Genomic DNA, 14,772 nt, shown 5'->3' on the forward strand with positions numbered 1-14,772 from the left:
GCCTCAGCCTCCCAAGTAGCTGGGATTACAGGTGCCTGCCACCACACCCAGCTAATTTTTGTATTTTTAGTAGAGATGGGATTTCACTATGTTGGCCAGGCTGGTCTCGAAATCCTGACCTCAGGTGATCTGCCCACCTCGGCCTCCCAGAGTGCTGGGATTACAGGTGTGAACCACCACGCCTGGCCATCACCTTGGTTTTCTGCCCATATCTGTGCCAATTCTGGAAAGAATTCTTGGAACAATCATGATCTGCATGAGTTCTATGATGAATCCCTAAAGCATGGGTTTCCCACACAGTTGGAAGCCATTTCTGTGTCCTCTATCTGGAATGCTCCACCTGCCCGCAATGCACTGAACTCTTCCTCTTTTCTGGACATTAACAGAAAGGTGACTTCAGGCTTGGGCTGTATCCTTTCCTCTGAGAAAACCTTCTTTGACCTCTCAGATGAGGTTAAAGCTCTGTTTTAGGTGATCTGTTAGCTCTAGACACTTCCCTTTTGTAGCATTTATCACTGTTGCACTTTGCATTGGGTTTCTGGTCATTATTGAATATCCGTGTCCCAGACTCAGCTAAAAGCCCCAAGAGAGCTCCAGGTGTGTCTCTGCTCACCTGTACCTAGCAGAATGTCAGGCATGAAATAAGCATTCAATAAAGATTTGTTGAATAAATAAACTCAGATATGATATGAATGTCCTAAAGGACGAATAAATAACTATTTAAGCTGCCACACCGATGGGTTGTTCTGGCAAAAGAAAGAACAAATGTATGCCAGCCTTTCTTCCCAGTGAGACTTATGGGAAAGGTGAGCAGAGGTCCTCTGACTTTGAGTTCTGCTTAGAGAAAAAACTCTATCTTCAGTTTCTATTAAATCTTTTTTTTTTTAATTTCGAAATGGAGTTTTGCTCTTGTTGCCCAGGCAGGAGTGCAATGGCATGATCTCAGCTCACTGCAACTTCTGCCTCCTGGGTTCAAGCGATTCTCCTGCCTCAGCCTTCTGAGTAGCTGGGATTACAGGCGTGCATCACCAGGCCCAGCTAATTTTTTTTGTATTTTTAGTAGAGGCAGCGTTTCACCATGTTGGCCAGGCTGGTCTTGAACTCCTGACCTCAGGTGATCCACCTGCCTTGGCCTCCCAAAGTGCTGAGGTTACAAACATGAGCCACTGTGCTCAGCCAGTTTTTATTAAATCTTTCAAAGCAGAGCTCTAGGGTCTAGAGTCTATGTTTTGTTTGTTTGTTTGTTTAGACAGAGTCTCACTCCTATCGCAAAGGCTGGAGCGCAGTGGCATAGTTTTGGCTCACTGCAGCCTTGACCTCCCAGGCTCAGGTGATCCTCCCACCTCAGCCTCCCAAGTAGCTGGGATAACAGGTGCACGCCACCATGCCTGGCTAATTTTCTGTATTTTTAGTAGAGACAGGGTTTTTCCATGTTTCCCAGGTTGGTCGTGAACTCCTGAGCTCAAGTGATCCACCTGCCTCTGACTCCCAAGGTTCTAGGATTACAGGTGTGGGTCATTGCGCCTGGCCCAGGGTTCTGTATTTAGGAAAGTTTTGGAATGGAAAGAGAGGGTCCTGGATTATGATGGATAGATGGGATTGAGCAAAGGGTAGCCAAAATGTTCTACATAATAAAGAAACAGGAATGTTAGCTATTTTCCTTTGCAGCCCAAGAAACTTGTGATTTGTAATTCTAGATGCAGGGAAGAGACTAGATGTGAAAACAGACTCTGTGGGAAGGAATGGGCCTCTAGAATATATCACCAAGTGAGAGATCTAATGCTATTACTCATTTTCCTTCGTCTACTACTACTGGCATCATTTACTACGTCAATAGCTATTCTGTGTTCAAATACATTATTTATGTGATCCTCAGAGGAATCCCAGAAGCAAATTTAGGTTTATCACCATTTTACAAAGGAGGAAACGAAGACTAATCAGTTAAGTAACTCATTCAAGGAGGCACATCCAGTAAGGGGCTACTCATATGCTATCCTGCATTGAGGAAGGAAAAGGCATTTTAATGGTAGTGTTTGTTCCCTGATGGTAATTTAAATAGTTTCTTGTTTTGAGTTTCTTTGACCCATTATCCCCAACTCTTCGAAAAAGGCTTAGGTACCACCAGATGGAGCAGGTTTACATTATCAGTGCTTTGGGAAATAGGGAGAGCTGTGCCTTAGCTTAGGGTAAAGAGAAAGGACAGCAGAGACAAGAAACAAGACAGCTGTGGGGTTGGAGAATTGAGCACAGTAGGAGGTGATGAACACTAAAGACAAAGCTTCCCCCTCTCCCTGTACCCTGATAAACATTGTAGAGATACTAGACTTTCTGCAATTATATGAGAGGGAGGACTGAGTTATTTTATTTGGATCTTACCAGATAGGTCAATCCCCGAAGGCCCGAGGATTTGGGAACACCTATTTCTCCTGTTGTCTCAGAGGTAGATGCATGCCCATTGGTGCTTGACTGCCAGCCCTAATCTGGTCTCTCTTTGGTCTCTGCTGAAAAGACTCTACACCTGGACCCACCAAAGACAGTTCTTCCTTGTCCCCATTTTGCTGCCTTTCTGCCAGTGTCCAAATTCACCTGTACTTCATTTTTCTAACATTCCTCCATGCTACTGAGCCTTTCTTTGTGCCACACTGACCAGGGAGGTTCACCTCCTGCCCAGAAAATGGGCATTTTCTCAGATAACTTTTTACATTTTTAGATCATGTCAAAAGCCTATAATGTTCTGGGCAAAAAGGAAGGTGGTTTACTAACAATTATAGGTTCAGCCTACTATACAGACATAATAGGTCCCTGTTTAACGGGAGAAGAAACTGAGGCTTTCAGAGGTTGGCTGCCTTGCCCAGTTCACGCCACTGGTAAATAGTAGACAAGTAATGACAAAATAAAATCATTAACTCATTCCTTTAGATTTGTTTTAAATTTAAATTTGTTTAAAATCAATATTTTTTGGTATACTTTTATAAATGTTTTCTTGTGAAATAAACATACATACAGAAGATGCAAGAAGCTTGAAGGTACAGCTTAAATTATCACACACAAAAAACCACCCATGTAACTACCATTCAGACCCCAAAATAGCATGTTGTTAACATTTCAGAAGTCTCACAAGTCCCTTTCTAATCAAAATCTCCAGATTCACCCCAAAGGAAAACATTACATGACTCTTATTATAACCAATTTCTTTTTTCAAAAAAACCTCAATTTTTAGCAGCTTTATTGAGATACAATTCACACACTGGACAATTCACTAAAGTTTACAATTCAATGCTTTCTAGTATACTCACAGAGTTGTACAACCACCACTATAATCCATTTTTGTTTTTGTTTTTGTTTGTTTATTTTGAGATAGAGTCTTACTCTGTCACCCATGCTGGAGTACAGTGGCACAGTATTGGCTCACTGCAGCCTCTGCATGCCGCCAAGCAATTCTCCTGCCTCAGCCTCCAGAGCAGCTGGGATTACAGGTGCCTGCCACCACACCCAGCTACTTTTTGTATTTTTAGTAGAGATAGGGTTTCACCATGTTGGCCAGGCCGGTCTCGAACTCCTGACCTCAAGTGATCAGCCTGCCTCGGCCTTCCAAAGTGTTGGGATTACAGGCGTGAGCCACTGCGCCTAGCCATCAATTTTTATTTTTATTTTATTTGTATTACCCCATACCCACTCCTCAGCCCTAGCCAACTACTAACCTACTACCTGTCTCTAGAGATTTGCCTATTCTGGATGTTTCAAATAAATGTTTAATACAATATGTGGTCTTTTGTGACTGTCTTCTTTCACATAATATGTTTTCAAAGTTCATCCATGTTGTAGCATGTATCAATACTTCATTCCTTTTTATTGCTGAATAATATTCCATTGTATGGATATAACACTTTATCTACTTATCAGTTGATGGGTATTTGGGGTGTTTGCAGGGACTTCAACATTGCATAGCTTGTTTGTGAAAGATTTTGGCTATTATGAATAATACTGCTATGAACATTCATGTACAGGTTTTTGTATGGATATGTTTTCAGTTATCTTGGGTATATAACTCAGAGTGGGATTGCTGAGTCATACGGTAACCCTAAATTTAACATTTTGAGAAATTGCTTAACTATTTTCAAAGCAGTTGCACCCTTTTGCAACCCCATCAGCAACGTATAAGGGTTCCAATTTCTCTACATCCTTGCCAATATTTGTTATTTTCTGTTTTTTTTTTTTAAGTATAGTCAACTTTTGGGTGTGAAATGGTATCTTGTAGTTTTGATTTACATTTCCCTGATGAATGACATTGAACATCTTTTTATATGACTGTTGTTCATTTGTATTTCATCTTTGGAAAAATGCCTATTCAAATCCTTTGCCATTTAAAAATTGAGTTGTTTATCTTTTTATTGTTTAGTTGTAACAGTTTTTTATATATTCTGAATACTAGTCTCTTATCTGATACATAATTTACAAAATATATTTATGAGTTGTCTTCATTTTCTTTCTTTTCTTTTTGTGCCATACCAATAACTGGTTTTAATTTTTTTAAAAAAGGAAATGCTATAATTTTTAAGAAGAGTTCCAAAAAATTTAACAGCATTTCCAGCAATGATTATTTCTGAAATAAAAAGATATGAAACATAATTTATACAAAACTAAAAACCAAAAGCATTCCTTCTTGCTTTTTCCTTTTTAAAAAAATCCAGACCATTTGTCACAAGAAAGTTTGGGAAGTTACAGCAGCTGCAGCCTCAGTCACCCTCAGAATTGCTGTCCTTCCTCCTGGGGACAGAGCACCTCACTGAGGACAGCAACATGTCTTCAATCAGTTTCTTAGGGTTTGCCTCCAGGTCTATCTTAGTTGCTCTAGATTCAGTTTCCACTCCAACTCATCTCTCGACAGGTTCATGCCGCCAAACACCAGAGGACTGATAAACTGAGCCTTGATATCTCCTTCCAGGTAAACAAATATCATGGGCAGATTCCTAACAGGTTAATTGGGTATGCAGGTTGTTGAAATGGCTTTGATAAATTTGACACCAGGAAACTTCCTGGCAAGTCCACCGAGGTGCTGATTTATCAGGGCACAGAGGGGAAATTCCTTGTTTTTAAAGGTGCAAGATTACCCGCAAACTCTCACCAGCTTTGGTAACTTCTTGAACATAATCCTTTCCTGAGATCTCCAAAACTTCTCCAGATTTATTCTTCAGTTTAGTTGCTTTCCACTCAGATAGTCTCTGCTGTCTGTACATTTCAATAGCATGTTCATCCTCCTCATTAAATTTGTCTTCATGATCCTCCAGCTCTTCCAAAGTCATATCTTCATACATTTTCACCACTGACTGCTGGAGGATGCGCTGTTCCTCTTCTTCCTTGTTTTCCAATTCTTTCAGACTTTCCTTGGGGGGCAAGATGCCCTTTTTGCGTAGGATGTCATTCCACTCAGTGTCTGTGTTGGGGCCCTACATCTTGTTTTCAATGAGTTGTCTTCATTTTCTTGATGTCTATTGAAGTACAAAAGTTCTAAATTTTGATTAAGTCTAATTTCTCCATTTTTCTTTTGTTATTTATATTTTTGATATATGAAAGCAACCAGTGCTTAATCTAAGAGTGACTCTGATTTTTTCTGAGTTTAATTTTTTCAGTTCTTACTTTTAGGTCTATGATCCATTTTGAGTTAATTTTTGTATATGTTTTGATATGTGTTCAACTTTGTTTTTTTGCACGTGAATATCCAATTATAGAAGTACTTTGTATATTCTGGTTATAAGGCCCATATTGGTTTTATGTGCAGCAAATATCTGCTCTGTGGCTTGCCTTTCACTCTTTTGATGGTGACTTTTAGATAATATAAACTGATAAAGTTGAGTGCATTAAAATTAAGAGTTTCACTGGGTACAGTAGCCTGTGATCCCAGCACTTTGGGAGGCTGAGGCAGGAGAATCACTTGAGTCCACAAGTTCTAGACCAGCCTGGGCAACATAGCAAGACCCCCATCTCTACCGAAAATAAAAGAAAAAAAATTAAGAGTTTCTGTTGATCAAAACCCCTTAGGAGTGGGCCTTCCTGATTGGCCTCCCATATAATATTCCAGGCTTATCTCCTATGTGTACCATCTGTTTTAGCCACAGTAAATTATTTTCCTCTCTCTAAATACATTCTGTCCATTTCCAACTCTGACTCTAACTAGAAACACTTCTGTTTTCACATTTTAAAGTCGTATTCATTGGCCGGGTGTGGTGGTGCACACCTGTAGTCCCAGCTACTCTGGAGGCTGAGGCAGGAGATTCGCTTGAACCCAGGAGGTACAGGATGCAGTGAGCGAAGATCGCACCACTGCACTCCAGCCTGAGCAACAGAGTGAGATGCCATCTCAAAAATACATAAATAAATAAATAAATAAATAAATAAATAAATAAATAAATAAAGTTTTATTCATTTTTAAGGAGAGCTTAAATAATACTCATCTGTGCTAGGTGTTGTTGCTACAAAGGTGGGCAAGACAGAGAATCCCTGTCTTCTCTACATTATAATAATGGGATTAGATAATCAAGAAAGCAATTTAAATGAAATGTTATGAGAACTTTGATAGGAAAACTATGTTATAGGAGCATTTATCTGTTATTACATATGAAGAGCTCAGAGTAGTACCTGGCTTGCAGTGGGCACTATAATTTTTATCATCATTCTTATCATTAGGATAAGTGTCTCTACAGAATGAAAAACTTTTCCTCTAGAGGGATTAGGGAAGGGTCCTTAGAGAAATTTGTACCTGTAAAAGACCTGAAGGCAAGAGAGAACCTGACATATGAGATAATCCACACCAGGTCAGTAGAGCTGGAGCTTAGCATGATGTGAAAGAGGGCAGTGGCCAGAGAGAAGAGAAACTCAGGAGTTATGCACAAGCCAGCTCAGAAAGGACTTTTTCATCATGTTTTCTGCTACGGGCCATGAGAAGCCATTGATGGGATAAATTTTTAGGATGACTCTTACGTGCATTGTGGAGAATGGGTCAGAAAAGCACGAGAAGGGAATCGGCAAGACCTTTTAGGAGGCTGTTCGGGAAGAAGCCATGGCAGCCTAAACTGGGATAGTCCAGGAGATGGAGGGAAGTGGGCAGAACAAGCATATTTTTCAGAGGTAGAATTTGTAGAACTATAAATTCTATGAAGGAATCAAAGGGCAGGTGGGGAAGAGAGAGGCAGGAGTTGAGGTTGCCTCTAAGATTCTAGCCTGAGCAATCAGGTGGAGGAGAGTACCATTCAAGGTGCTAATGAACTCTGTTGGAGGGACTGGTGCCACAGATAGGTCATGAGGTTTCTTCATGACTCCAGCAGTTGACATGGATCATGCCTTTCTCAGGTCTCATTTAGTATGTCATTTCTATTTCTGTCATAATACATAGTAGGGCCATGGACTATTAGAGCTGCATGGGATCTCAAAGATTAGCAACAACTTCATTTCATAGGATCTTCAAGAGTCACGAAATTCTCCAGCCTTCTGTGGTCCCCCTAAACAAAATATCTCAGGAACATATGGTGTGTAATTGCAGGAAATACAATCATGTCCCAGCTATTTCTGAGTGTTCCAAGGAGGATGTTTCCACAGCCAGTTGTCACCTATAAACCACCAGCACTCCTGTTAGTTGCTTAACCCTCTGTCCATCACCTCCTTGCCTCTCCATGACTTTGGGAGTACTTCCATAACTTTGGGAACTCTATCTGGGCTATTTCACTCTTCCCAAACCTACCTCTCCAAGATAAATTCTGCTGTATTTTTCCAATACTATTTTTTTTTTCTTCCTGACATCCATCCTTTATTTTGATGACAGGCTAGAAATCCCAAAAACTTAAGTGACTTCAACGTTGCATAGCTTGTTTGTGAAAGATTTTAGACCAGAATGTTTTTTCCTGGGACTTCTGACTTCCAGTCCAGTATATGTGCCGTACAAGTCTCTCTTGTCTTCTAGCCTGGGAGCTTCTTGAGGACATGGAATGTTCACTAGCTCATCACATAACCTGGAACATGGACTATGCCCAGTGAATGTTTGCTGGATGCGCATGCTTTATCCATATTCCTTCAACATTATTTTAAGCCCAAGCTGTTGGGTTTTTCCCTCCAGCACCAGTGACCAACCATGACCAGCAGAGGACAGCAGAGGTGGAAAAGCACTGGCTCTGGAGGGGCTAAATGAAGTGTTGGAACCAAGTCAAAGAAGGAAACATCAAAAACAGAGACATGAAATACAAAACATAGGGTGCTAGATTTAGCAAATAAAAATACAGGATGCTCTGGGCCACACTTATATTAAAAATTATTCATTGTTATTTGAAATTCAAATCATCTGAGTGTCTTATATTTTACCTGCAACTCTGACAAGTACTACTGCACCTGAACCTGATACTCAAGAAGTGGCAATGGTCCTTATCAGAAATATATTGGAAGGAAATTGATAGGGAAGGTGTGTGGCGAGCTTACAAAAATCAAACATGAGTGCTCATCACACAGGAAACTGGCTGACTAAAGTTCAGCCAATATCAAAGGCTGCCCTGGTGAAAAAGACTTTGCAGTGGACCCTGGAGTGATCAGGGTGACATATCCTTCCTCTCTTATTTCCTATATAAGATACGATCCTTCATGCAAACAATACAACAGATGAAAACAGAGGAAAGAGGCTGGGCAAAATCATAGATTGAGTAATAATTGTTTAATTCCACACTCTGACTGTTATAACTTCAGTTATAACTTGTATCAATCTTCCTTCCTTTTTTAAAAAATAAAGCAAAACAACAACAACAAAAAAAACAGGGTCTCACTCTGTCCCCCAGGCTGGAGTGCAGTGGTGCAACCAACTGGGTCTACAGGTGCATGCTACCGTTCCTGGCTTATTTTTAAAATTTTTTTTTTGTTGAGATAGGGTTTCCCTATGTTGCCCAGCATGGTCCTGTACTCTTAACTTCCAGTGATCCTCCCTTCTCAACCTCTCAAAGAGCTGGGAGTACAGATGTGAGCCACTGTGCCCAACCCAACTTCCTTTCCTTGATCTTGGGGTCTTTTAACTTATGTAACAATTCTATTCCATTCCAGAATCTACCATTTCCACATAATTTTCAATAACACTTTCTCTCCCTTCAGGCTCTTGTTAGAGACCTCCTGCAATTCCACTTCTTAAATGGACTTTAATTAATTGGAGGCCTCCATTCTTAATCCAATGGATAAACATGAACGTTGAATAATGTGAGACATAAATTTATTTCAATGCCCATTTACTGAGTACCTACTGCGTCGAAGAAAGGCTTCACCATTAAGTAACTCATAATCTAGTTAATAAATTTATTAGAAACCAAAGGGAAGATCCTATGTCTTAGAAGCACATTAATCCAGGTTGCCAGAAAACAACTGGTCCCTTCATAAATCATGGGAATTCCTATGAATTCCTTTGGAAGCCACCTCAGGGTGAGAAAAGTCATGAGTGTGTTGCAGTTGGTCTATGAAATTGGGAAAGTTATCACTAGGGCATTTTTTAAAATTCCTTCCTCTTTCAGAGCACGCTTGGCTGCTTCCTTTTTGGATGCAAGCTGAGCTGACAGAGTCTAACCTCAGTCACATGCTGTGTATAGAAGCCACAGAAACACAAACAGAAGCCAGACATGGTGGCTTTCACCTGTAATCCCAGCACTTGGGAGGCCAAGGTGGGTGGATCACTTGAGGTCAGGAGTTTGAGACCATTCTGGGCAACATGTTGAAAAAAATACAAAAAATAAAAAATTAGTTGGTCATGGTGGTGCACACTTGTAGTCTCAGCTAGTTGGGAGGCTGACATAGAGGATCACCTGAGCCTGGGAAGTCAAGGTTGCAGTGAGCTGTAATTATGCCACTGCACTCCAGCCTGGGCAACAGGATGAGACCTTGTCTCAAAAAAAAAAAAAAAAAAAAAAAAAAAAAATGAAGAAGAAGAATTAAAAAGAAAAGACAGAAAGAAAAAAGAAACACACACAGACACATTTGCAGCAGCATGGCTGCAGGAAGAATGAATGGTGATAACTGGCGAGGAGGGCAGGTTTCTAAGAATCCTAAAATGTTAACACTTGAAAGACCTTAGTTTATCAATCTCCTGGTCCAACCTCCTCATTTATGGATGTGGTGTCTGAGCCCAGAATTGAAAGGACTTGCATAAGGTCTCATGCTAAGCTTGTGATAGGACTGGGATGTGAATCCGATTCTTTTTAATATATGTCTCAGATTAGGTTCTGAAGGTCTAAATATGACCTTCTGTGACATTTGGCTAGTGTATTAGTCCATTTTCATACTGCTATGAAGAAATATCTGAGACTGGGTAGTTTATAAAGAAAAACAGGTTAAATGGACTCACAGTTCCAAATGGCTGGGGAGGCCTCACAATCATGGTGGAAGATGAAGAAGGAGCAAAGGCATGTCTTACATGGCAGCAGGCAAGAGAGCATGTGCAGGGGAACTGCCCTTTATAAAACCATCAGATCTCGTGAGACTTATTCACTGTCGTGAGAACAGCACGGGAAAAACCCACCCCCATTATTCAGTTACCTCCCATGGGGTTCCTCCCATGACACATGGGGATTATGGGAGCTACAATTCAAGATGAGATTTGGGTGGGGACACAGCCAAACTATATCAGCTAGTGACCATTTTCTCCTGGAAACTCTTTAGGTCCTTGACTTCTATGACCTTTTCCCCTCCAGGCTGTACCCTGCTCCTCCTGAATGTTCCTTCTGTCTTCTTTGCTAGTGTCTTCCCCTATTCTACCCTTAAAAAGGAATGTTCCTTAGAGTTCACACCCTTTCTCATTCTCCCTGCACAATCTCATCAATTATTATTGTTTTAGTTACTGTAAAAACTACATCTTTGACTCGAAAATCTTTGTCTTTAGTTCTGATCATTTCCCTAAGATCTATATATTCAACTGTTATCTAGATATCTCTTTCCATATGTTCCACAGACATCTTAAGCTGTCTACCTCCGAGCTATGATCTTGCCCATCTTTCCTCCAAACTAGTTGCCCTTCCTGTATTTTATGTCTTAGATAGTGACATTGTGATCCATTCAAATTACCTTGTCCCTATCCCCGTTATCCAGTTGGCCATCAAACCCTCTCAACTCTGTTGTTTAACATTCCTTGAACCCATCACCTCCTCAACATCCTAAAACCTTTGCTTTAGTTTAGGCCTGTAGTCATAGATTCACAGAAAACAAGTAAGACAGGACATGTGTCATTAACAGGGAACAGTTATGACTAGGACCAATTAGAGACAATAGACCTTATTTAAAGGGAGCACAGAGTACTTAGTTTAAACAGACTCTCTCCTGCGAGAACAAAGGCCCAGTATTCCCAGATATTTTAAATTTAAAAGAAACCTACATTTTTAACGTGAAATCTTTTTAAGTGGGGCAAGTAGTTCAATTTTTTAAATAACTTATATATTGAATAGGAAGTAAACATACACTGTCCCTACCTCCAACACACATACATAATGCCTGTGGGCTAGATTGTGTCCTTGGGCTGCCAGTTTGCAATTTCTGTGTAGCCTCTCATTTTCTCTTACATGGACTATTGCAAGTGTTTCCTAAGTAGTCTTCCTCACTCCACTCTGTGGCCAGAGTAATCATCCTACAGATGTAATGACATGATGATGTTGATCATTATAATCACGGTTTGAGAACTCACTATGTGTCAGTTACCATGACATATTTATCCCATTTAATCCTTCAAAGAGCCCCATGAGGTACTATCATGGTCACCCTTTTGCAGAGTAGGAAATTGGTTAAGCACCTCTGATATTCCAACTCCAGAGCTTACGCTCTTAATGACTGTTTTCTACTCTGTTCCTTTCCTGTGGCCTCCCATTTTCTAATCCAGCGGTTTTTATCTTCTGTAGAGCCTCCATCCCCTAATAAATACTGCAGACCTCAGAAAAATCCATACCTAATTCTTATAAATTTTATATGCAGTATCTGGGGGAAATCATAGACCCACATGAAGCTCTTCCATGGTCTCAAAGGTCCATGGATCCTGAGTTTAAAATCCACTGGTCTATAGTACAAAGTTAATACCCCTTAGTATGGCATTTGAGAGCCTCCATAATCCAGGTGCTGCCTGACTTTCCACCTTCCTCTCCCCAGCTCCTTGTAGCTGCTAAAATCATGCTCGCTTCTTCTTTCTCTGTATCTGCTATTCCCTCTATTTGGAAAGCTCTTTCCTCTACCTTGTCAGCTGACTCAGTTTCTACAGATTCAGCTAATAGAAAGCATTGTCTATCTGTAACCTAACCTAGTGCCTCTAACACTTCCTTGCACTTGTTGTTTACAAGGCTGCTTCCCCATTAGACTACGAGCTCCTTCTTGAGGGCAAGGACCATGCTTTGTCCATCTGCAACTCTACATCTAGCACAGTGCCTGAGACATAGCAGGTGATCAGCAAATACTCGAATGAATAAAAGTGGACTGATGAGGTCATAGGAAGCAAGCTAGATGCCAAGGTCAGAAGGGCTAAATGAGTATAGACATTGGGCATGATAATATGAGAAGTTTTAACCAGTGAGCTTTCTGCACTTTCCAATTCATTGACTTTCTTCACTCATTCAGTGCCCTGAGAACTACTTCCCTTCCACAGACCAGGCAGCTGATGTTAAATATCAAATTCTTGGCTTTTGTTTGAAAAAAATCAGTGCAGAAAGATATGAGAAAGCCTGCTGACCAAGCTCCCCCACCACTCTGCAGTGCCCCTTACACAATGTTCCAACACTAGAAAACAGTCTTTTTAGTGCCAGATAGGGGTGGAAGAAGAGAAGGAAAGGAAGCAGGTGAGTTAGTCATTGGCCGGACTTCCTAGAAGGAAGGCAGAGCTCACCTTCATGATCTTAACTCCAAGACAGGGTGGGAGGGTGGCCCTCAGAAAAGTCTGAGGATTTGAGAAGGGAGGACTTGTAGCCTGCTTTCTGTCTGGGATGCTGGAAGGCAACAGCCTCAGGAGAGTTCCCTGTAGCACTGTGGTGCAAGAGAACTCAGGCTGTGGATGGCTGGATGACGTGCTAATGGCAAGATGCCTTGAGGTGGCTCTATCACTTTTCCTGCAGCCTTGAGAATGGGCAAATTTCCCTGAGTCCCCAAGAAAAGACACAGTGTTTGTTTGAGACAAGGATGTGGGCCCCGAAATTGGCATGCATTTGTGACATGGAAGCACCATAGTGAAAAATGGTGTGGACCCTGCAGCCCTGGACCAGATAGGGCCATGGAGCCTTCAGTGGGTACCAGAGGAGAGACAACCATGCTCAGGGTTAGATAAGACTTGTACACCTCAGCAAACGCTGGCACAGGGAAAAGGACAATTGCAGATATTTCCTACAGGGCCATGAATCCATAGAACATGGATGCTACCCCAGAATGAATAAGCAGGAATAAGAAAATCCTGATAGATATTAAACCTGACATGGAAAAAAAAAAAAACACTTTAAACTGACTGAGTTACTTGAATTGACTAGATTTGTTCTTTTAATCAGGAAGAATAGGAGCCTGATACAAAACTCAAGTTCAGCCTTAGCAAAGTAAAGAAAATCATATTTTTGCACACTGAGTGTGTACAAGCCTATAAAATATTACCTTTACAACAGAAACAGTTCTGGCTAGAGCTGAGGAACGGGGGTGAGGAGTAAAGGATGGAGCCAGCAGGGATAAGGAAGATTAGATGATTATCTTCAATATAAACTGAAGAGGAATGTTTCCTTGAATTTCCAAGAGAGCTGATTCCTATAGTAGGTGAGCATCAAGATACAAAAATTAGTAGATTCCTATAGTACCTGATTTCTATAGTAGGTGAGCACCAAGGTACAAAAATTGGTAGATACAACCAGAGTTTAGTGTATAATAAAGGCAAATAGAATAGTAGCCTGACTCTCATTAATCAGGTAGGGTTCTTCTCAGCAACCACTAGTGAGAAGACAAAAAAAAAAGATTTGATGTTAAAATCATTATTTAAACTAAAAAATTAATTTTAATTACTGAATTGTGTGCATGTTAATGAAAAAAACAATACAAAAGTATTTTATGAAAAAGTCAATTATTTCCTACTTTATTCTATTCTATTCTCATATCATCTTGGTGACTGATGTTGACAGCTTAGTGTGTACCCAGTTACACTTCTACCATGGTCTTAAAACAGTTATGCAGACTTTTGTTTTGCTGTTGTTTTTCAAAAAGCTAATAATACTTTACACATTACTCTGCAATGTGCCATTTTACTTAATTAGACAGCACTGACATCCTTAAGCTTCTAACTTAATTCTTTTTAATCACTACATAATGTTTTTTAATTTGATTTACCATAATAAATTCAATAATTTTTCTATTGATGAGCAATCTGATTGTTTCTAGTTGCTTTTGGCCTATGAGAAATAGTACAATAAATATTCTTGCACAGTGGTGCTCTCATTTCTATAGGAGAGATTCTCCAACATGGAAGTGCTATATTAAAGAATGTGTTGATAGATTTTAAAAGACATTATATAATCGGCTGGGTGCAGTGGCTCACGCCTGTAATCCCAGCACTTTGGGAGGCCAAGGCGGGCAGATCACGAGGTCAGGAGATCGAGACCATACTGGATAACATGGTGAAACCCTGTCTCTACTGAAAAAAAAAAAAAATACAAAAAATTAGCTGGGCGTGGTGGCACTTGCCTGTAGTCCTAGCTACCTGGGAGGCTGAGGCAGGAGAATCGCTTGAACCCAAGAGGCAGAGGTTGAAGTGAGCTGACATCG

At 40.5% G+C, this 14,772-nt stretch overlaps 1 pseudogene, besides 1 other annotated feature; it reads right to left on the reverse strand.

The window, feature by feature from the left end:
- Positions 583-1,208: an enhancer, noted in NCBI's record as "H3K27ac hESC enhancer chr12:66665559-66666184 (GRCh37/hg19 assembly coordinates)". NCBI's record gives its function as "activates a minimal SCP1, AML or CMV promoter by ChIP-STARR-seq in naive H9 embryonic stem cells {active_cell/tissue: H9 hESC(naive)}" and the evidence as "EXISTENCE:reporter gene assay evidence [ECO:0000049][PMID:30033119]".
- On the reverse strand, positions 4,737-5,453 carry PDCL3P7 (PDCL3 pseudogene 7; annotated as a pseudogene).
- Positions 5,454-14,772: the final 9,319 nt, after the last annotated feature.

The sequence above is a fragment of the Homo sapiens genome, chromosome 12 (genome assembly GCF_000001405.40).
Source record: "Homo sapiens chromosome 12, GRCh38.p14 Primary Assembly".
In the NCBI taxonomy this organism is placed as follows: Eukaryota; Metazoa; Chordata; class Mammalia; order Primates; family Hominidae; genus Homo; species Homo sapiens.